Below are 24,295 nucleotides of genomic sequence, written 5' to 3'. Positions count from 1 at the left end.
TTGAAAGTTTCCTGAGGCCTCCTCAGCCATTCTTCCTGTACAGCCTGTGGAACTGTGAGCCAATTAAACCTCTTTTCTTTATAAATTATTTAATTTCGGTATCTATAGCAGTGTGAGAATGGACTAATACAGAGAGGGTGTTTGCTCCCTGCTGTTCATCCACAGTAGTTGCTCGAGGAGGCAGGAAGGGCCTCCTCAAAGGAAAGGAACACCTATCTGTCTCGGTAGATCACAGAACCACTTCTACCGTTTCCCATGAGTGCCCTCATCTCACTCTGCATGGAATAAGTGATATGACTGACAACCGAGAAGCTCACCCAATCCATTTCCACAGACACTTCAATTTGGACTACAGTGTAATCATAACCCAAATCAGATTGAACAGTTTCTTGTCTCTCAAATAGTGAATATTCAGACACAAAAATGATCAATTTAGCATATGCTCTTTGTCTGTCTTTGCCTTTGTTTGCAAACTTCTCCGAGGCAAATGTGTTAAAAAAATTTGTAGCACAGGGTATCTAGATCAGGAGATTAGAACTGTCTTTCTTTTAAAAAATAGATTCTTCATCCCACGTGTTATATCAAGGCATTATGAAAAGCAACAAGCTTTGCAATACAGAGCAAATTAAAATATTTTATTGTTGTTGTTCTAAACTTTCTGCAAATTATCTGTGCATGTTGTTTTCTTAGGATATGTATTGTTTCATATTGGTCAAGTTCTGCTTCTGACCGATTGCAAGAATGTAGTCTCTCTGTTGCACATCAAGTGCCACAGTATCAAGAAGATAAAATGGTTTTTGCTCTTTGTTTTGTTTTGTTTTATTGTTTTTTTTATTTTTTATTTTTTAGCTGACAGGACAGCAAATGGCTCAATGGAGAAAGTTCTGTTTGGGTGGAATACTCAAACACAGGAAAGGTTTGAGCAAAGTATGTCCAAAAACACTCTTCCTTATTGTCTGCCTCTAAAAAAATCTGCTTTCAAATTTCTTAACCGTAGCAAGTTTAATCTCCTTGTCTCTCAAACAGCTACAATAACAATAATATTTTCTTGTTTAAAATAATGGAGAAGGAGCCATATTTCCTTATGATTGGTTCATGTCTTGTTTAGATCCCCATCCAAGAATGTAAAAGTCCTGAAGTCTGAAGCCGAATTTTAACAAGACAATATTATCTTGAAGACATTCCCATAGTATGGACATAGTAGAGAGAGTTAGAATTAAGCTCCAAGATAAGGTGGTGAAGAAGTTTTGGGAAAAGTTAACGGAACTAAATTTGCACAAACAGTAATATGTATCTCAGCACAGAGACCACTTACAGTAAATTTCATTTGCCATGCTGAATTCAATGTTTGGCTTGACCCTGACTAACATTCCCCTACATCCTCCTTTTTACTTCTTAAATTGCTGTGTTCTTCAAGGGCCTGCTGAGGTCTCCTCTGAGCATTTTAATGATTAACCTCTTTGGACAGAATCATTCATTCATTTATCAAATATTTATTGAGGGCTTAATATTAAAGTCCGCTTACAAACATAGGCTGCATTCCATTTCTTGTGTCTTCTTAATAAAAAAGTATATATATTCTCCCTGGAGTGGGGCATATTATCTTATCTGGATCCCTGGGACTTTACAATGGGGATCATTATTCATCTCTGCTTTTAACCCTGCTCCAGATTCCGGGAACACTTGTGCTCCAGGAGGAATTAGAAAGAGGCAAATCCCTACTGGCTCATAAAGAATCAACATTGTTTGGACCTTAGAACTTCAGTTTCTTTTTGTTCATGGATTTATTGAACACCTCTCTGTTCCAGGCATGAGGATTGTAGTGGACATATAGAAACTGAAGATACATAGACACATTTCTCATCCATGGATGTCTAATTAGGTAGACAGATAAGGAAAGGCATGATTTTTTTTTAAATGTGGAAGGTGCTGAGACAGCAGAAGAACACTGTAATTTCCATGGTAGTATAAGAGGAGAAGGCACTTCAGAAATTAAGTCTGTCCAGAAAACATTTTTTTTCTGCTGTGCCCTAATATAGCTGGCACTTCATGTTGTCAAATGCCCTTGAAACTCCTTGTGTTTCTGTCGTATTCTGAGGATCCATACCAACTCCCTTTTGCTTCTTCCAACTTCATCAAGTTTTATCAGTTTGGATCATACCTCGGTTCAGACTGTTAGCTAATGCTTCTTGCACCCAATTTAAATTTTCCCAAATAGAATGATCTTCTGGCTCACACTCATGTCCAAATGTGCCTGCAGAATTCATGGCACATGACTGTTGGGTTCTTCATATTATTCTGTCAATTTATCGACATTCTGGGCATCATCCCACTCCACATGAGTCTGTAGAAAGCCTTTGGCATTGGCGTGTATTAAACACAATGTTTTAAAAAAATATATCCATTAGTTTACAAAGTGAAAAGATGATCAGAATTTGAATCCCAGGCTGCCTATCTTTTGAAATCCATCTTTATACATTAGGAGAGAAATATAAAAAAAGAGTAGTACATGAGGCAATCATACATTATTACTAGCTAGAATATCAGCATCTAAACTTTAAGTTAAACTTTCATCCTCTTGTGCCTTGTAGGCCCTCACAGACATCATTTGCTTCTCTAACTCTGACTAGACAATAGGTAGGCCTAGGGGTTTACTGAATGTCCCAGTACAAAAAATCTTCCATCCCTTTGTTCCACCTGACATCCAAAGGGCAAGGGTAACCTCATGTGAAAGATATCCTAGGATCCACTGGAGCATATTCATGTCATTAGATGAAGAGGAAGAAAATTCTAGAAGAAAAACATAATACATAAAGAATTAAAGACATAAAAGGATAACATTTCTTCTGTACGGATCTGTTCATATTCACCTTATTTTTCCCATTAAAATATTTATTCAAATATAATCACTATTTGGGCTTCTTGAAGATTCATTTAATTGTTAATGAATATCAGAATCTTTCTCTTCCAAAAGAAGGCTGCACGTTTCAGTAGATTTAGAGAGAGGTGCTGTAGAGGGAAGGAGAAGGGAGAGAGACAGAGTAAAGAAACACTGTGGTTCACCCAAACAAATGCAGTATTTCCCTCAATGTCTGCCTTTGATACTGGTATGACCACTGATACCTCTTCCACTTATGTGGCACCTCAATGCCTAGAATAGAACCAAGAACTAGGAAAATGGTCAGGAAAACCTCTAAATAACCAGCACGCTCTAAATTCCTGAGATCACATACCATCCCAAGATAACCACTCAGGCCTTCACTCAGGGTCTTTACTTCATTACCCAGAGATCAGAAAATGATACATTATACTCATCATTCGATTTGTTACTTTGGAAAGTTTATGAAATACTTTACAAAGTTTTCAAAACAAATTATTTCAGAATATTTTCAAGCAATGCACAGGACTAAAATATTTTCAATTAAAAAAGCCATTTAAAAGAAAAAAGATAATTTTTTAAAGAATTATTGTATACGCGTTTTTGCCGTGTTTCATGTTATTAAAATAGTAATAAATATATTTCTTGGTGTGCATGGAATGTTAAAATCTCAGCCTATGGGAGGTATGAGGCTGAAGCCAACCACTACATAGATTGGGAGATTAGGTGTTAATTATCATGACTTAGTCATTAATAGCTTGTGTTTAGGCTCAAAACCTGGCTCATCACTTACAAGCTATGAAACTTTGGGTAGATTACTAAAACGTGCTCGGTCAAACATACTTTATATATATTTTTAAGTGGTAATGATTATGCTGTCCAATTTATGGATTATTATGAAGATTAAGTTAAATGATATATACAAAGTATTTAGAACAGTGCTTGGCACAAAAGAAGCACTTAATAAATATTAGCAATTTTATGGGATTGGTCCTTGAGGAGCGTAACTAGCAGCATTCATTTTGATGTTTCATGGTGTGTCATTATCTCAGGCTTGCTTTAGACCAATGTCTGTGTCTGAAGGTTTCCAGCCTTGCCTGCTGGGGCATGTGGCAGGAGGCCTCAGGCAGTAATGACCATCAGGTGGATGGCAGCACTGCAGGTCCAGATGGTCCTCTGGCAGAGGGTCACATCCATGGCTGGAAACCCAAGTGATGGGGTCCAGCTCTCAGGGGATGGTAATGAAATGCTGATTAGTAATCCAAAGTGAATACAGTGATGCTTGGGGGAAGGCTGTGGCCTGGTAAACAAACAGATGTCTGAGGCTCACTCTACACACAACAAGCACTGGGCCATTGGCAGTGGAGACAATCGTACTCCGCACTGTGTCTCCACGATGATGCTATAATATTCTGCATTTGGGGGGCCAATATTGGCTCAAAAACTGGATTAGGCTAGGCCTGCAGTTTGAAGTGTCTGCAGGTGAGTGAGTTGGGCAAAAGCCATTTTAGAAATTACAATGGTATTCAAAATATTATCTCATATATCTTCCAGTTTAAAAATGTCAGAGTAGGATAGGGCCAGGCTTAGAACCTCACTTGTCTCTTTCAGCGCTGTCAACTATTCCTCCTTTTAATAGAGGTGTTGCCCCAACTGTGGTTTTGTATATATTGAAGACTCCAATGTACTGGAGGATTGGAGTATTCAATATATACAAATGTATGGAATGTAAATGCTGTAAAGTGGACTAAGCATTGGGCTACTTTAGACCTAGCCAAGATTGCTGCACAATAGTGCTCCATAAATGATTATTGATTAATTCATAGATTGCTTTATTATAGCCTAATTACCTCATTAACTGTGTCCACTTGTGCATGTAATAATTATTGCTTATGGAGAATGGTGATATTTAAACATTTTAAATGTAAAGATTAAGTTGTAATTGTAGGGTAATAGAAGCAAAGTATACTTACAATGATAACTCTGCAAGCATTTTTTTTTAATTCTTTAGTCAATATTTTATGGGTTTAGGTATAATTTGTTCTGTGAGTCTCATGAAGTTCTGAATGGCAGTATACTGAGAAAACAGTCACATAGATACATGTCTAGTAGACAACATAATACATTAAATCCCAAAGTAGATAAAACAGACACAAATTTAAGACTGTTTCAGATAAATTAATGTGTGATGGCTCTGTGGTGAAAGTTTGTCATAGACAGGATTCTTGTTGCAGACAATCAAATTCACTTTTTCTAGTTTAGACAGAAAGAAAGAGACTCTCAGCCGAGCTTCCAGAAACACAGTGAGAATACTGTTCCTCTGCCATGATCGGGTAGTCGCCGAATCAGGAAGCCTCTATCAATGCCACCTCCTATGCCACCAACTCTGCTTTGATCCACCTTAGACAAATGGGTTCTCTGAAACTTCCACTTTCCCCACAGAATTCAACTACAAATCAGTTTGGTAAAGGAACAACTGATTGATGGAACCTAAAAATCTCTTCGGGGGCAAGGAAGCTCAAAAATACATTTTTTTTTAACTCTTTTATTATAATTCTGTCCTGGGAAAGTAGAACTTATACTGCATGGAAACAATCCAGCTATTGAAGGGTATTTTGAATTGTTCCGAATGTGTAATATTCACTTCAGAAGTCAAAGAAAGATGTAGACATTAGAAATGTTTTCTCATCTGCATTTATTTCACGCTCAACAAAACATCCTCTAAAAGTCCATTTCTGTCCTCATCATAGACTGGACTGAATAGACTGTAGTTATCTAAAATCTGCGCAAAACTTTTTGATTAAAAAAAATACCAGATATTAGTTTTGTTTGTTTGTTATTGAATGCCTCCAACAGTGCTCTGAGGGAACTGGGAATTTGGATGTGAGTCATCTACTTTGGAAACCACATGAATTCTGATTATATCATCATCACATTATTCATAAAGTAAAATCCTGAATCTTTATCTTTGACTATAGGCATCAGAAATATGTTAAATTGAAAAGCAATATATATGTCAAGCCCATTCTCATCATTATTATTTTAGTACTTGAAAATATTTCTATATGTATACACAAAGCAATGTAGAAGCTCTTTAATAACTTTAATAATCTATCTGTTGCAAATTATGCACACAATGTGATACAGTGCAATGCAATTGCATTGCACACATTTCTTTATTACACAATGCAATAAAATAAACCTTTAAAGCTACATGTTAGTAAGAGTTTAACATTTGCCACTTGATTACCCAATTTTATTTTAGCTATACGCCAAATATTATGTTTAAATTAACATCCTTATTTTAGACAAAATTATTTAGATTAATGGTTCTCAGATGGGATGTTCAGGATGTTAAGCTAAATTGGGGGATTGCACCATGATATAAAAATGGAATAGAAGTAAAACAAGTGTGAGGACAGAGAACTGTAGGTAAGAAAGCTAAAAAGTGAATTATATGATGATATAAATATTTGTGGTAGACAGGAACAAATCTGGTCCTATGTATTTTATCAGTCAATATAAACTGAAAAACAAAAAACATGTTACTTATACAATTCATGGTGTTAGAAATAGAAATTCTAGTGTTGTCACGTGGGATGTGGCAAATAGTTAATAAAGAGCGAATATAAGGTAATGAAGTCTTTACACTCCTATCTAAACATGCATTTATTTACAAGATTTGAGATTTGTAGATGTTAGCCATCTGAGTGACTTCTCAATTGAAAGCAAGTAGAAAAGTCCTTAGACTTCCGGAGAGACGTAGTATGAATTAGTATAAAAAGTCAGAATAAAGTCTTCTCTTAAAGGCTGAGTCTGCCTGGAAAAGAAGTAGCAACAGAAAACACAGCAATCTTTACTACTCCACGTCCTACCAGCACTGCCCGCCTCTCTCTTTGTATTTTTTGCTAATACAAATTTAAAAATTGCAAACTTATATCGGAAAGCTGTAGATGCAAGGCAAAATTCATCTTGACAATGTCTCTTACTTTATCTACATTAATAGAGAGAGGGTCAGAAAGAAGAGAGATCCTGATTCCAACTATCCAAATGATTATCTTGCCACTTCCCACTTCCTATGGCAAACAAACAGAGCTGCTTCTTTTTTCTCCTTTTCTCACAAGTTCCTTTCTTTTCTACTTACCCAAATCCCACCCAGCCTTCTTAACTGAGCTCACATCTCAGTGATTCTATTCTTTTCTTATCTAGTTCACATGTTCAAGTTCTACCTCTTTGCCAAATTCTGCGAGCATTTAAAATCTGTAGCTTACAATTCAGAACTTAATATATCATTTACTCTTTGTTGTTGTTTCCTGTATCTTAATCCTCTTTCTCCTCTTAACAAAATTGCAAATAATACAAAGCTGTGTGAGACAGTTAATCACAGGGAATCAAATTACAAGAAGCAGGAGTAATGAGTCCAAGATACCATGCTAAATTTTGATAGCAACAAATGAAAAGTCTGGCCTTGGCCAATGACAATTGTGTGCCATGAACTATGGAGTGTCATTAACTGAATTATGTGCACTTCAGATCTTTAAACAACAACAAAACGATACAATTCCGTGCTTAGGAGCAAAAATGGAGTTGCGTAGGTAAAATAGTGATAAACATATTCAAAATAGTTTGTATTTAAAAACTAGGTCTTTCATTTATTTGTCATTCAGTCATTAAGCGTTTAGAATGACCTGCAAATTTCTTTACATTAGAATTTAGGAATTTATAGGTGGAGAGTGAGTTGTCTCTCCACTCAAGGATCTCGTACACTCCTGTGCAAACTAAAGACTGGTTTACAGTACAAGGATCACACAGTAGAGACATGTTCAAACTGCTAGGTAAAAAGCAAAAGCTCAATATTAGTCATAAATGGGCAAATTGTAGTGGATAAATGCTGTGTGCAAACTGAGGTGGATTTCAAGATGCATAGTTCTGGAAACAATAAGGGAGATGGTAATCCTATGGTCCTTAGGCAGTCAGGCCAGAAAAGGGATGCTTTTAGATTCTAAATAACACGTATTATAAAAGGAATTAGGATATGATGTACTCTGAAGGTGGCCACATGAAATTAAAATGTCTGGAAAATGAATTGTGTAATAAAAGATGATAAAAGAAGAAAAGACATAAAGAAGAGATAAAGATATTTAAATACTTGAAGGGCTCATGTAGGAAAAAATATGTTTATACTTACTCTGAAAACATACATGGGACAAATGGGACTTGCTGGAAAAATGGTAAGGAGGCAGAATTTGGCTAAATATGAAGGAAATTATTCTAACAGAAAAAAGTGACCAAAATTAAAATGTGCTGCTTTTAAGAGAGTCCTGAAGTAAATGACGCATTTGTCCAGTTGGAATTTTATTGCATCGTATCTGTAGTTTTTTTCCATATCTAATAAGATGATAAAGATTTTGATTTTGCTTATTATGTCTATATTGATTCTCATAGTACTTATTAAGAATCTATGATATTCTAGGTACCATATTTGGCAACTTAACATGACTGATGGAAAGTCACCAGTAGGCCAAGATAACAGATATGGAGAAGGCAACTCGAAGTAGTAGATGTGCACTCCCAACAGAGGTACAGGCTTTCTAGGTGCTCTAACAGGCTTTCCAGGTGCCAGCAACAGAAGTACCACAGTGAGGGGCCTGGGAGTCCCACGGTGGTGAAAGAATTCTGACTCCATATTTAAGTACTGAGAAACATGTAATAAACAAGATGGCTAGCTTTCATCATTACCACGATATTGTAGGGTGCAGGAACTGTGAGCCACCATAGAAGACCAGGTTCTGAATTGATTGTGGATCACCTATAATAGAATTAAAATTAAAATTAAAATTAAAATTAGACTGACAGCCAGTCTCCATAGCTGTAGAGCTACAGAAGACAATAAAAGAGGATCATCAAAGTGCTGAAGTTTACCCAAAAGATGTCATAAACAAAATCCTTAAAGTAAACTAACAGACTGGAAAAAGATATTTGAAATATACACTGGGTAGAAACTTGCCAAATACACATGGTGGCTAAATAACAAACATATGGCTAGCTCTGATTGCCAATATTACAAATTTAATTTCTTAGGTATGAGATCAAATCTGATTTTTTTTGAAAAAATGAGTAAGTATGGCAGTTTACTTATTGCTAATTTGAACGGTTGGATTTAAAAGTTTGACATCATGATGTAGGGAAAATTACTGCTCTGCACTCTTGGCTACTGTAGGCTAATACAATCACTACTCTGAACACTGATGCACTAAAAGAGTAGTTCGTTTGCAACAATGTGGCATGTCATAATATCACCAAGATATTTATACACACATAAATTAAAATCAGAAAAAAATCTGTAAAATTTCTGGGAAAAAAAGTTAAAAAATTTGTGGCGCATTTTAAAAATCTGTAAGCTTCAGATATCTAATATAGGCAACTCTAAACATTATTTCAGTGTTACTTAAAATTTCAGCCTACATAGACTCTAAGGGATAAGAAATTGTTTCCTTAAATTATACTTAAAGTATGTTCTTTTAAAGTTTGGTAAGTGAGAAAAAAATGGTTTGAATTATTTTATTTACCTTCTACTCTTTCTTCTAGTCTTTATACTCCTTATAGTCTCCGTTATGTTGAGATCAAAGATGATTTATCATGGATATTGTTGCACATGGTTTTGCAGTTTTTTCTCTCCGTGACATTTAAAGGTAGCAAAGTTGAGATTCTGCTTTTAATTCATCCTCACGAGATATGAAGACTTCTCTAATAAGACTTTTTTTCTTGAAAGACTCTGGCCTAAGCTGAATTAAATAACAAAAAATTAAATATAGCTCTTAATGCTTCTAAAGATTAGCATTGTGATATAATCTAATTTCTATTATTCTCCTGTTTTATTAGCATTTAAAATTTTATAAACATTTGCTGGCTGAAAACGGATATTATGTTCTTGTTAGTGTTATCTATCTAATGCACTCTCTCTTATTCCTAATAACTGCTAACATTGTTTAACTGTTTGAAAGTTCTTAATAATTTTTGTACAGCAAATTAACAGCTTTCAAAATCAGCATATTTCAACATTTTATTATTGAAACACATAAATATGCTTATATTTTAACAGCCTGTAGAAGCCCATGGAGGTTTTTATTCCAAGTTACATCTAGACTGCTCTCCTAAGTTTGAAAATGAATACTTAGTATGTATTCAGATGTTAATAGCCAATTCGAGGGCTACACCTTGTTCGTAATTTGAGTGGTCCTACCTCCATTGAACAAGCAGATGATGAAGGGGCCAGAAAAGAAGTAGCTATTTGTTACTCTGTCTTTCAAAGCCTGAAGCCAAGGCTGAAACCAAGTATATCTTTTCCTGAGTACTGAGGCCAAAGTTAAACTTTGTGGCATCTCTGTGTAAAGAATTCCTAGATACAATTAAGAAAAACAGAAAAATGACAAAAGCCTATCAACAACCCCCAGAGGAGAAAACTGGAATCACCAATAAACCTATGAAAAACTGCTTAACCCTGTCAGTAATCAGATAATGAAAACTGAAACAGCAATGAGATGTCATTTCATACCCATCAAGTTGGGAAAAAAATTAGCAAAAAATATCACACATTGGTAAGAATACATGTAAATGGAACGCTGCAAGCAATTTGCTAATAAACAGTAAATGTGATGATTCATGTTACCTGGCAACCAGCGGTTTGATTTCTAGTCTGTGTGCTAAATGAATACTTGCACATGCACGCCAAAGACGATACATAGGAGCTGGGTTATATCCAAACAAGGAAATACTATATAACAACTAAAAAAGAATAAATGGAATCTACATTTGTCAAGTTTGATAAATACAAGAAATAATAATTTTGAGTAGGAAAAGCAAGCTGCCAAATGATATCTAATACAAGATAACATTGATCTAATATGTTATAGGTTGCAAAATGTCTTTTGTGGCTACAACCACATAGTAAACAGAAAGAAAATGCTTGGGAAGATTGCATAACAATTTTAAGATGGCGATTATCCCTGCAGAGGGAGCCAAGTCTAGCTATTCCATTACCTTATAAAATGATCTGAAAAATAAAATCTCTGAGAAGCAAATAATATTTATTGTCCTCTTTTTACAGATGAAGAAACTAAAGTTTACTTTACAGATGAGGAAACTAAAGTTTACTTTACTCAGTGAAGTAACGGCCCAAAGATTTGATAAGTGATCAATGGTATTATTGGAATTTGAGTCAAAGGTTTCTGGTTCCAGAGCTGGCACACTCAATTATTATCATACACTGTGCTGGATAGTTAAGTACTGATAAAACATGATTTCTATTTATTGTTATAGAGGGGATATAAACCTATTCTAGCTGACTCAAAATATATTTACTAATAGTATCCTCAGGGTCCCAGAGTTTTGACATAGGGGAATATTCAAATATTTAACTCCAATGAAGGAAGATATTCTTTTAATGAAATTAACAATCTACTGTGGACCATAAAGTACAACTGGTCAAACCAGGGATTTGGTTGCTCTGATAATCAGTGTAACTGTATAGAAATTCTAGCCTGGCATTTCTCTGAAAATTTATGTGACTTTCCATATCCTGAGAAAAATTAGTCAAGGAGTCAGGAAAACAGGGAAAAGTATTATAATTCTGTGAGATTTAAAGTATAACAATCAGCATAGAGATCTTACTGATTCAAAGTAATCTGCTGATATCATATCAAATGCAAAAGCAAGAAACAAGACATGAGGAATGGAAGGATAATGTGGACATTTCTGGTAGTGAGGACAGGAGTGCCTAAGAGAGAACTGGTCATAATATAATCAATTGCTCTTGCTTATAACTGGTGCTATAAGTATGTGTTTATGGGCCTGTCTGCTGGAAACAATGAGTCATTCTTGCAAATAAAATAGATACTAATAAGTTTATATGCATTATATTTATTATAGAAATTCTATGAGTGATGTTCCAGTAAATAAGTTTTGAAAGCAAAATAAGTTCTTCAGTTGGCAATTTTGACACGAGTGTGTGTGGTATTCTTAATGATGCTAGGAGATCTGAATATATCAAAATGATGTTTGCTGGTGTTTTCCTGTCTTGAATATTTGCTATAAGCCAAGATTATATATTTTAAAAATATAAGAAGTGACAATAATAAGAAATCATTCTTCTATGGGTTATATAAAGCTTTAGAGTTTTTTAAATGAAATATACAATAATAAATGTATAGTTTTGCATTTTAAAATCTGCAGATAAATTATGAAAATATAGAATATCTTAGAACTTTAGGAATTTCTGAGGATTCTTGATAATTTTGGTTTATTATTCATGAATCCTGAAGATAAATGTCTGTTTGGAATTTGACAACACTAGGTTGTAATGTGCAGGATTGTGACTCCTTTTGGAGACTACAAAACTCAAGTATGCTTTCTGAGTCCATGCATTCAACGCTATGTTCTCTAGAAAGCGTAGTCTGTTAGACTTACTGTATCGCCCAAATCAGCACTGGTAGGAAATGAATTAAATGCTATAAACTAGAAAGACAGATTGCTGGAAAACTATGATACACCTATGATTAAAGTCATACTGATTTTATTGTCTCTACTGTATTAAGAATAATGAGTGAAACATTTCACATTACGGCACCATTTGGTGCAATGAAGAATAATTGGAATAGATCTGAGAGAGCTAGCTTTATTGATGAATAACTATTTCTGAGACTGATTTCACAGTATAGTATTATCATTTGAGTCTCCCCATATTGTAATATGGGAAAGCACAGGCTCAGAGTGGCTAAGTTACTGACAAATTCCCCAATTCCTGTTTTCTTTGGCACTCTCAGGCATTCACACAATTAATCATCTAATGAAATATGAGCACAGTCATTTAATCAAATATTTCCAGAGTTGGGATGGCTCATTGTGTTATACTTTTAACTAGTGATTTTGATGAATTCAGTGCAATCTAAACCAATCATTGACAAGCTAAAACCTTGAAGAGGGCGCTGCTCATATATGTTTACCATTTCTATGAATACAACATCAGAGGGATCATCCATGCACCCATAGATTTCAGAGACTTTCAAACAAATGTCTTAGATTATTTAGACAAAACCTCATTGTTCGACATCCCCTTTCCAGGGGACGCAATGGTGACCTTCGTGTTACAATGAAGTTTACACTGGGCATGATTGTTCCTTAGAAGCTGTAGCAAGGAGGAGAAATGGTTTCGTGAATTCCATCTCAAACACAGAAAGCAACCTTCTACTCTGATATGATTAGAACTTTAATTTCCTAATTAGGAAATTAAGGTTATTGAAATTGAGATAATAAAGTAAAAAACAATCTATTTTATTTCTTTATTTAGAAGTCTGACCAAAAAAAAGGATGATGGCACATCTGTTGTGTAGTATGTTTAAAACAAAATCACAACGAACAAGTTTTCTGTGTCATTTGAGGTAGTGCCTGCCTTGTTGGATCTTGAGCAGACTACTGAGAACTCCAAATATTCTGTATCCTCCTGTCTGTAGTTGATGGCTACATCTATTCTTTCTCTCCTTCTTTGAAGGCCTTCCATAATCTACTTATCTATTTCCTCTAGTCCCCCTTGGTCTCTCAAAGAAAATAATACCAATGAGACAAATACCATGGCCTTTGATTAGAATAATTAAACTTTAATCACGCAATGATTAAGCTGAAAAACACCTTAATGATTATCAGTTTCAACCCCTTGAATTTTTAGAGTTACAAAGTTAGATCAGTGTGATTTGGGGAGTACTGTATATTACTTTGAATCCATAATCCTTTCTACTTAACAGTAGATATTCTGTAGACACTTATTTTCTTCCATTCTCTTTATTTTGATATATTTCAGGATGTCAGAAATCCAACAAGCATTTTTATTCACGTTGCTAATTATTGTATTTTATTTGAAGCCCCAATCAATCTTTAAAGAAAAACAAATTACAGATAAATATTTAATTGCACAAAAAATTAGCAAGTAGAAGGCATTGATGAAGACATAACACTTCAATATGTTATAAATCATCAAAAATATGCCAGGAGATACATTTCACGGAATGCATTTAAGTGTAATAAGCTTTTCTGAGGTATTCAATAGAGAATATTTTCATTTTCATGTATATATTTAATTTGTTATATTCTCTCAAGTCAAAGTTAATTTTTCAATTAGAAAAAAAAATTGTGCCCTGCAACTTAATTTTTTAAAACCAATGTGTTGCATTTCTTCTTTATAGGATCATCACTTTTGTAACAGTTCAATGACACATTTAGCTGTTTGTTCTCTATAAGATCTATATGGGCACAGTCTCATCTGAAATTGTTAATTTTGAAATAAGTACTGTGATGCAATGGTATCAAATTACAGGCATACAAGTTAATTTTTCTATCAACAAAAAATCCTCTAATTTTCCTTTGCAGTTATAGATTCACAAGACATGTGGGGTTAAATTCAAGCTTCTATTGAGTGAAGATGTGTTAATGGGAGCATTACTCATCATGAATTTACTGAGCACCTATTACATGCCAGATTCTGGGTCTCAAAGACACTTTTTCTATTTAACCAGAAATTTAAAGAATACAACATGGATCAGATTTAAATAATGTCATGAGTTGAACTGTGTTCCCCCAAAAGCTATGCCATGGTCCTAACCCCCAGTACCTATGAATGTGACTATATTTGGAAATAGGGCCTACAGATGTGATTAAGTTAAGATGAAGTCTATTACATTAGGGTAGATCCTAACCCAACACAACTGTGGTCCTTATAGGAAAAGAAGAGATACAAACACACAGAAAGGAGAAAACACCATGTGAAGATATTTGAGTTTTTTAATAAAAAATGCTTTCAAACCCATGTACATATTTAATATATGGCAAAGATAAAAGGCAGAGATTGAAGTGATATGTCTAGAAGACAAGTGACCCAAAACATGCCTGCAAACACCAGAAGCTAGGAGAGAAGCATGGGACAGAATCTCCCTCAGAGTTTCTAGAAGAAACCAACACTGCTGACACCTTGATTTCAGATTTGTAGCCTCTAGAAATACGAGAAAATACATTTCTCTTGCTGTAAGCCACCAAGTTGTGATCCCTTGTTACAACAACCCTAGGCAACTACTATGAAGAGTTAGTGTGGTGTGGTAGAATTTACACTTGGGCAATAGACAGTTGGGAGTTTGTATTCCAGTTCTTCTACTCAATGACTGTGTGGCTGGGCAAGTTATTTAACCACTTCTACCACCAATTAGTGTCTTCATTTGTAAGATGAGGATTGCTATACATATCCCAAAACTTGCCATGAAAATTAGAGAAAAAACATGAAATACCTAGTACAGGCCAGGTGCAGTGGCTCATGCCTGTAATCCCAGTACTTTGGGATGCCAAGGCACTCAGATTACTTGAGGTTAGGAGTTTGAGACCAGCCTGCATAGTGAAATCCAGTCTCTACTAAAAATTAGCTAGGCATGGTGGTGAGTGCCTGTAATCCCAGTACAGTGGGGGCTGAGGCACAAGAATTGCTTGAACCCAAGAGGCAAGGGTTGCAGTGAGCCAAGATGGCACCACTGCATTCCATCCTGGGCACCAGGGCAAGACTCTGTCTCAAAAAGCAAACAAACAAACCTAATACAATGTCCAGCAAATACGTGTGTGTGTTTGTGTGTGTGTATATATGTATATTTATATATATATATATCACAATTATATATATATATTCAATATTATCAGTTACTTATTACCTAAAGCATTAGACTATTGTTGACTGTTATATTGTTTAAGATTAGAGTTGCAATGTTTTTATTTCACTTTTATCTTACATTGTGTGAAATACTACAGGAAATTGAGACACTCAGTATATACTTCTTTGATTGATATAATAATTTTGAAAGCCATTGCAAAGGTAAATATCAGATGCCTAAGCTGTCTTCTTTTTTCATGTTTTAAGAAATAGGGACAAAATAATTGTTTTATCAACATTAATTTTTTTTGAAATGGACAAAATTATGCAGCCCTTTAGGAAAAATATGAAAAAGTTTCAGCTGGTCTTTGACCAGAAAGTATAGGATGCAGAAGTCATCTTATAGATAGTGATGTGCCTCATTCTCATTGATTGTCCAAGAAACTAAGCAGCAATTGTCCTTTATAGCATGAAGATTTGTCCATAGCTCTTTAAACATGTCTTAGGAAGCTGAATGAAACTCAGCGTTTGTTAGTAGCACTTGCTCATTAGTTCCTTTCCATCTTTGCAAATAAGATATTTAATTTTCATTGGGGAGGACTTCTGTCTCATCTTGATTGATTACTCATTATCTACTGGGGACAATTCCTGTTGGTTAGTGAGAAACATAGACTCGTTTATCTTTACATCATATATTGTGTAAATTAACCTAAAAATGTAGAATTTGCACACTAAAATGGTTCTACTGTGGAGAAATGTGGCTATAAAACAGCATGCTAACAAGCATGATATGATGAATGGAATAATAAACTGCCATGATTTCCATTTTACCCCCCAGTAGATCTCAGGACTCTCACCTATTGGAGACACAATAACAGTACTCCAGGAAGCTCAGTAAACCACCTTAAAGGCAGCAATCCTCAGCAGGCCCACGGTAGCTGTTTAGCTAAGAGAGGATGAGAGACACTGGGCCTCACTACACATCATTTCCAGGTATTTCCTCCCACTGCGTTTGAATGCACGGCCTGACAACTGCCTGGTGTGCAATATTGGTAGGTAGTGGGCACAATGTTAGAGAAAGAAGTACTTTGAGATGGTGTGATACAAAAGGCAGGGAGAAGGACTAGGAACTTCTTCCAGCCTTCCCAAGAAAAAAGAGCCAAGGGTGAGTTGTTCATTCCTTTGCTATCTTTCAAGGTACTATTTTAATAAAGAGTAGGAAAGTCACAACTCTGAAGAGATTTTAAATTTGAAAAGATTTCCCAACATAGATCAAAATCAATTTAGTAAACTTCTCTTTTTGAATTCCATCTGCACTCTATAGGAAGTCGGGACTCCAAAAATGAGACAACTATGATGATACATCCCCTTAAAGGTTCTTCATTGTACTATGGATTTTTTAAAATTGTAAGTCAAGTTCCAAGTTCTGTGAATCTACTGATTTTAAGTCTGTGACTCAAACTGTGCCACAAGGAGTGCGTCTTTTCTGTTTCCCTAGGCTGCTAACAATCTAAATTCCTCACATCATATCTCCCTATCATCTCTAAATTGTACACCTGCCTGGCCAATGTCTTTACTTTCCTAGAATACGAAAGGTATTTGTTTAAGCTTTATGAAAGGGAAGAAGAAAGGAAAGAAAGAAGGAAGGAAGGAAAAAGGAAGAAATGAGAAAGAGAGAGAAAGAAAGAAAGCAAGAAAGAAAGAGAAAGAAAGCAAGAAAGAAAGAGAAAGAAAGAAAGAGAAAGAAAGAAAAGAGAAAGAAAGAAAGGAAGGAAGGAAAGAAGGAAGGAGAGGGCAGGAAAGAAAGAAAAGGATGGGAGGGAGGGAGGGAGGAAGGAAGGAAGGAGAAAGAAAAAAGTTAAACTGTGAAAACATCAGTTGTAGTGACTAGTAGATTCACAAAAGATATTTTAACAAATTGATGTTAAACATAGAAACTTACCAGCAAATCAAACAAATACTCTGTTGATATTCTTGATACAAGTGGCTTGGATCCATAAATCTTATGAAAAATACTGTGATCTGGGTACTTCCCCTTTTAACCAAGATGGAGTAATTATAATTAGATTTACTCTTCTATCAGAAACAGCTATAGACATAATTTATGAAACAACAGTTCCCAAGAAGCTGGGGATCAACCTAGAAGGAAGAACAATCTCTGACATATGGGAATCAAATTACATAAGCCCTTGATTGTTCCTGCACGTTGCTGGGAGAGTTTCCAAGCTATGACACAAACTGTGAGAACCCAGAAAGAGCTTAATAGACTTCTCGAGTTGAGGAGATAGGGCTGGAAGTCCAGGGAAACTAGATGACTAAAAATTGCAGGACAGAGTTTCTGAGAGGTGAGAGCTACACAAGAGAGAACTCTGAGGATCTGCTAATGAAGCAGCTATGGTTTGGATATCTGATCTGTCTAAACCTCATGTTGAAATTTGATTCCTAATGTTGGAGGTGGTACCTAGTGGGAGGTATTGGGTTATGAGGGTGGATCCTTCATGCATGGCTTGGTGCTGTTCTCATGGTAATGAATGAGTTCTCATTCTATATTAGTTCCCACGAGAACTGTTAGAAAGAGCCTAGTACTTTTCCTGTCTCTTGCTTCCTCTCTCACTCTGTGATCTCTGCACAAGCTGGCTTCCCTCTTCACCTTATTCAATGAACTAAAGCAGCCTGAAGCGTTTCCCAGAAGCCAATGCTAGTGCCATGATTCTTGTACTGCCTGCAGAATTGTAAACCAAATAAACCTTGCTCTTAGTAAATTACCTAGCCTGAAGCATTTCTTTACAGCAACACAAATGGACTAAGACAAGAGGCACTCAAGTATTCAGCTAAGTACTGGTCAACACATTAATGTGAAGCAACATTCTAAAATGAGGGAAAGACTTATCCATAGGATTAGAACAAACAACCTGTACAGGTCATACAGGGCCAGGAATAGTTTGTGTTGTCACCAGCCTGAGTAAAATTTCTTATAATGCACAGGACCTTAGGTAATGAAGGGCCTTGCCTCAGAGGTAGAGAAAAATTAACCCTAATATCATGTTTTACTTTTTCTAACTGATAAGCTTAAAAGTAAAACCTGAAAGTATCATAATGTTTCCAAATGACTCTACTCTGTCCCAGAACAAAACCAATAATATTTATAGGAGTATAGCAATTTTTGGTAAAAATTAAACAAGTTAAAATCTATAATGTCTGACATGTTGACATGTATTGAAAGCAGTTAAAAAAGCAAGAAAATAAAATTCATAATAAGGAGAAAAAATAATGGTAGCTAACATAGAAATTACACAGATAATAGAGTTAGTATAATTGGACACTAAAACAGTTCATGTTCAAAAATCAAGATGAAAGATTGAACATGTTAAGTAGAGATGTGAGAGATTTAAACACAGTCTAAATAAAATTTCTAGGGATGAAAATTTTAAAATCCATAATGAAAAATATGCTAGATAGGATTAATGGCAGATTAAACAATGGAGCAAAAAGATTTGAGAATTTAAAGTCATTGCAATAGAAACATTTCGAAATGAAACAAAGAGTACAAATAAAAAGGAGGGAAAAGGGGAACAACACACACTGGGGCCTGTTGGGGGGGCGGCAGGTGCAAAGGGAGGGAGAGCATCAGGACAAATAGCTAATGCATGCAGGATTAATACCTAGGTGATGAGTTGATAAGTGCAGCAAACCACCATGGCTCATGTTTACCTATGTAACGAACCTGCACATCCTGCACATGTTCCCCAGAACTTAAAATTAAATTAAATTAAAAAAAAGAAGGGAAAAAAGTGAACAGAGCATAAATCAGCTGTAATTGGAATCCCTAAAAAAGTAAAAAAGAAACAAGTATTTGGAGAAATAATGGCCATATATTTTCCAAATTAGATTAAAGAAAAATCCAACAATCCAAGAATTTCAACAAACCCTAAGCTCTTTAAATTGAAGAAACCTAGCATGTTACATCATAATGAAATTGCTCCAATGGTTAATTGAGTGAAAATCTTAAAAGTCACTAGGTGGAGGCAGGGGTAGTATATTTTTAATGGTGGAACAAAGATAAATATTACAATGAATTTCTTGTTGGAAACAAGAGAGAAGACAGTGGAGCGCCATCTTTAAAATAATAAAAGAAAAAATATCAACCTGGAAATAATTACTGAGTAAAAATATCCTTCATAAATGAAAGGGAAATAAAGACATTTTCCATTATACAAAGCTGCAAAAACTCATCACCGGCATACTTACTTTATAAGAAAGTTTAAAAAAAATCCTATATGCAAAAAAAGTCTGCCTATACACCAAAAAATAAAGAAAATTGAAAACAGTAATTAGTTAAATAAATCTACATACCAATTTTTTATTACTTGAATATAATTTAAATATGCTGGAATGTTTATAGTAAAAATAATAATATGTTATATGTCTTATAACATATGTAAAGGTCATATATGTGACAAACGTAGTGTACAAGCCAGTATTCAATATAAGAAATTATACAGTTCTAAGATTCTTATACTGTGCATCATGTAATACAACTGGAAGGAAGCCTATTATAAGTTAAAGTAATCCTAACTCTAAAAAAAACACTAATATCACAAAACAAAATTACCGTTGACAAAATCCAAAAGGAGATAAAATGGCATTAGAAAAAAATACCCAATTATTCTAAAAGGACAAAAAGGAGTCATGGGAAAAAGTAAACATATCAACCAAATAAAAAATAAGCAGAAATTTGGTAGAGTTAAACCCAACCATATCAATAATCACATTAAATAATTTAAACAACCCAATTAAAAATGAGAGATTATTAGGTGGATGAAAATGCAAGATAAACTGATATGATACTTCCAAGAAATACTTCACTTTAAATAAATCGACATATATATGTTAAGAGTAAAAGGATGGCAAAGATATACCATTTTAAAAGTAGTGATCATAAAATATAAAGAGCTTTATTTCATAATGATAAAGAAGTCAGTTCAACATTAGGAAATAACAATTACCAATATTTACACACAATACAAAACCCTTCAAAATGCAGGGAGCAAAAACTGATATAATTGCAAAAGAAATATACAGTCCTCTGCATATGGTCTCATATTCAATACTCTTTTTGCAATAATTGATACAGCATGCATATATGAAATTAAAAAGCATATGAAAGACTTGAATAACATTATTTACCAAAGTGATCTAACTGGCACTTATAGAACACTGAAAAACAGTAGAGTCTATATATATATATATATATATATATATATATAAAATATGTATAATATATACACATTATATATTATATATAATACTTATATAATATATAATATATATCATATTGTGTATATAATGTATTTTATATATACATTATATATTATATATAATACTTATATAATATATCATTGTGTATATATAAAATATGTGTATATATAATGTCCATAAAAATAATGTATGTATATATAAAATACATTTTCAAGAGCATATGGAACTTACCAACATACACTGTATTCTGAGCCATAAAACAATTCTCAATAAATCTACAAAACTTCAAGTTATAGAAAGTATGTTATTTGACTCAGTAGAAGTAAACTAGAAAACAGTAAAAAAAAATTCTCTGAAAAGCTCCCAAATATTTAGAAACAAAATGGCAAACTTCTAAATAACACAAATGTCAAAGAAAGAGTCAAAAGGCCAATTTAAAAATATTTTAACTGAATTAAGGCTAAAACATGACATATCAAAATTGATTAACAGTAGCTAAAACAACACTTAGAAAAAAATATCAAACTAAAAGGAAGATCTAAAACAGAAACCCAAAGTAAGTAGAGGAAAAAAATAGAAATATCACAGTGAAAGTCTAAATACAGAATGGAAAAAATAAAACAGCAAATGAATAAAACCAAAAGTGGGTTCTTGAAGAAGATTAATAAAGTGGGTATATCTTAACCAGACAGGTTGGGAGAGAAAAAGAGGAGGCGAAAGAGAAGGAGAAGGAGGAGGAAGCAGAGGAGGAGGAAGAAGAGGAGAAATTACCAATATCTGAAAAGAGATCAGTACAGATTATAGAGATATTAAAAAGACAATAAGGAAATATTATGAACCACTGTTTGGCAATAAATTCACCAACTTAGATGAATTGAACAAATTCCTTTGTAGAAGCAATCTATCAAAGTATTTGTGTAAAAATTTATGTTTATTTGAAAAGCTAAAATAGTCAAAGCAATTTGGTAAAAGAACAAATTCAGGTATCTTACACTAGCTAGCTTCAAGGCACTATAAAGTTCTAAAAATCACAAATAAATTCTTTATTAGAATAAAGAATCCAGAAATAGATCCACACACATGTGATCTAAAGCAATTTATTAATTAGTCTTTTCAATAAGTGGTGCTGTGGAAAATCTGGAATTAAAGACTAACCCTACCAAATGTTGGAGGAGATATGGAAGAACTGGACAGGTGGGCATGTAAAATGGTATAAACAGTTTGGAAAAGACTAGCAATATACTAAAATATTAAATATACAACTACCATATAATCTAGGCATTACACTTCTGGGTATTTACCCAAGAGATATGAATGTATATGTCCATGCAAACAAAGAGTCTTATACTCACATATTTATAGTTTTGCTTATTATAGTCAAGAACTAGACACAGCCCAAATAATCATCAGTAGGTGACTAGATATGCAAATAATAGTATGTCTACACAGTGGAAAACTACCAATTAATTTTCCAAATGAACTATTAGAAACTACATACCACAGATGAATAAATTTCAAAATAATTATTCTGAGATTCTGAGTGAAAGAAGTGAGACAAGAAAGAGGACCTACTGTGTGATTCCATTTATGTAAGATTCTAGAAAATCCAAACTAATTTATAATGACAAAAAACAGATCAATAGCCTTATGAGTGCTATGGAGGGTCAGGGAGGAGAGATGAAGACTGGCAGGTGGGAGAGATTACAAAGGGGTGTGAAAAACTTTTATGGATAATGTATATATATATATATATATATTTTTTTTTTTTTTTGAGACAGAGTCTTGCTCAGTCACCCAGGCTGGGGTGCAGCGGCTTGATCTCAGCTCACTGCAAGCTCCGCCTCCTGGGCTCACGCCATTCTCCTGCCTCAGCCTCCCGAGTAGCTGGGACTACAGGCACCCGCCACCATGCCCAGCTAATGTTTTTGTATTTTTTTAGTAGGGACGGGGTTTCACCGTGTTAGCCAGGATAGTCTCGATCTCCTGACCTTGTGATCCGCCCTCCTCGGCCTCCCAAAGTGCTGGGATTACAGGCGTGAGCCACCGCGCCCGGCCAGATAATGTTTATGTTTCTTACCTTGATTGTAGTCTTGGTTTTCATGGATGTATACATACATTTAAAAAATAAAATTTCACAAGTTAAATATATACAGTTTATCATATGCCAATTACATACTGTGATTAGAATTTACTAATTCTAATTTACTGGTTTTATAGCTAATTTTTACTGTTGTTATAGCTAAATTTACTATTGTTATAGCTAAAATTATTTGGCATAAAAGGCTTTTTCTGTTGTACATGTTGACATTACCTAAAAATAATATGAATATGTGTAGCCATCCTTGTGTGTTATGTTTCCCTTTTCCCTTACAATAGCACTGTGAATTAACCTGATTTTTTTCATTTACTCTAAAATAGAATTAACTTTCTTTTTAATTTTTCTTTAAGTTAGATGAATGTTCTAGAGCTGCACTATCCAATACAGTAGCCACTGGTTACATATACCTATGTAAATTTAAATTAATTTTAAAAAATATTTAAAAACATTAGTGCGAAATCAAATCATCCACATTTCAAGTGCTCAATAGTCAGTTGTGTCTGGTGGTTACTGTCTTAGACACAGCAGATATAGAACATTTCCATAATCTTAGAAAGTTCTATTGCACAGGGGTGATGTTTACTATTCAATCGAAAGTACAAGAAGCATAGTTATTAGTTCGAGCTCTGCCTTGAGACTGAATAGCTCTTATGAAAATCAGGTAACCCTAGTCAGCCTCAGTTTTTTAATTACCGATATAATGGAATCAACTTTTATAAGGTTCTTATAGTGTTTCTAAGATCCCTGTATATTATCGGAGAAAATATTTATGGGTACTTTGGGACACTAACACGTGTCTCTCACACCCTATCATATGAACATCTGCCACTTCTTTTATACATTTTGTATTTAATGTTTGTGGGAAGAATGGGTAAATAACATCATTGTATCTTCATTGCCCATCTAAGCCATCACCCATCTTTGAGGCAGAATATTATGAAGAGCAGAGACAACGTGGGCGGGTGACAGTCGAGACAGACTGGAAGAGTTAGTTTTGGAATTGAATATATTTTTCCGTAAAGTTCATTTTTTTTTTTTGAAATGGTTTTTCTCTATCAGGCCTCTCCTCCTATCACCCCCTCCTTTCCTTCCCACCATCCTGACTTTTTTTTTCTTTTGAGACGGAGTCTTGCTCTGTTGCCCAGGCTGGAGTGCAGTGGCAGAATCTTGGCTCACTGCAACCTCTGCCTCCTGTATTCAAGCAAGTCTCCTGCCTCACCCTCCTGAGGAGCTGGGACTACAGGTGCACGCCGCCATGCCCGGCTAATTTGTGTGTGTGTGTGTGTGTGTGTGTGTGTGTGTTTATATTTTTAGTAGAGACGGGGTTTCACCACTTTGGCCAGAATAGTGTAGATCTCCTGACCTCATGATCCACCAGCCTCGG

At 34.6% G+C, this 24,295-nt stretch overlaps 2 long non-coding RNA genes across 4 annotated transcripts in view; one reads left to right on the top strand and one right to left on the bottom strand.

Annotated features, from left to right (window-relative positions):
• Positions 1-24,295, top strand: part of MIR924HG (MIR924 host gene) — a 545,072-nt gene that overhangs the window by 85,887 nt on the left and 434,890 nt on the right. The window lies entirely within an intron of this gene.
• On the bottom strand, positions 621-15,176 carry LOC101927857 (uncharacterized). 3 transcript variants are annotated; one of them, XR_007066448.1, is made up of 4 exons: positions 10,434-10,549; positions 9,448-9,663; positions 8,618-8,687; positions 621-2,790 (listed from the first exon to the last, which is right to left on the bottom strand). It is a non-coding gene; the product is annotated as an uncharacterized LOC101927857 (long non-coding RNA). The 3 variants fall into 3 exon arrangements; XR_007066449.1 differs by lacking the exon at positions 10,434-10,549 and adding an exon at positions 10,122-10,210; XR_001753416.3 differs by lacking the exon at positions 621-2,790 and adding an exon at positions 2,922-3,009 and having other exon boundaries at positions 9,448-15,176.

This window comes from Homo sapiens, chromosome 18 (assembly GCF_000001405.40).
Source record: "Homo sapiens chromosome 18, GRCh38.p14 Primary Assembly".
In the NCBI taxonomy this organism is placed as follows: Eukaryota; Metazoa; Chordata; class Mammalia; order Primates; family Hominidae; genus Homo; species Homo sapiens.
This window is presented reverse-complemented; position numbering and strand designations above follow the sequence as displayed.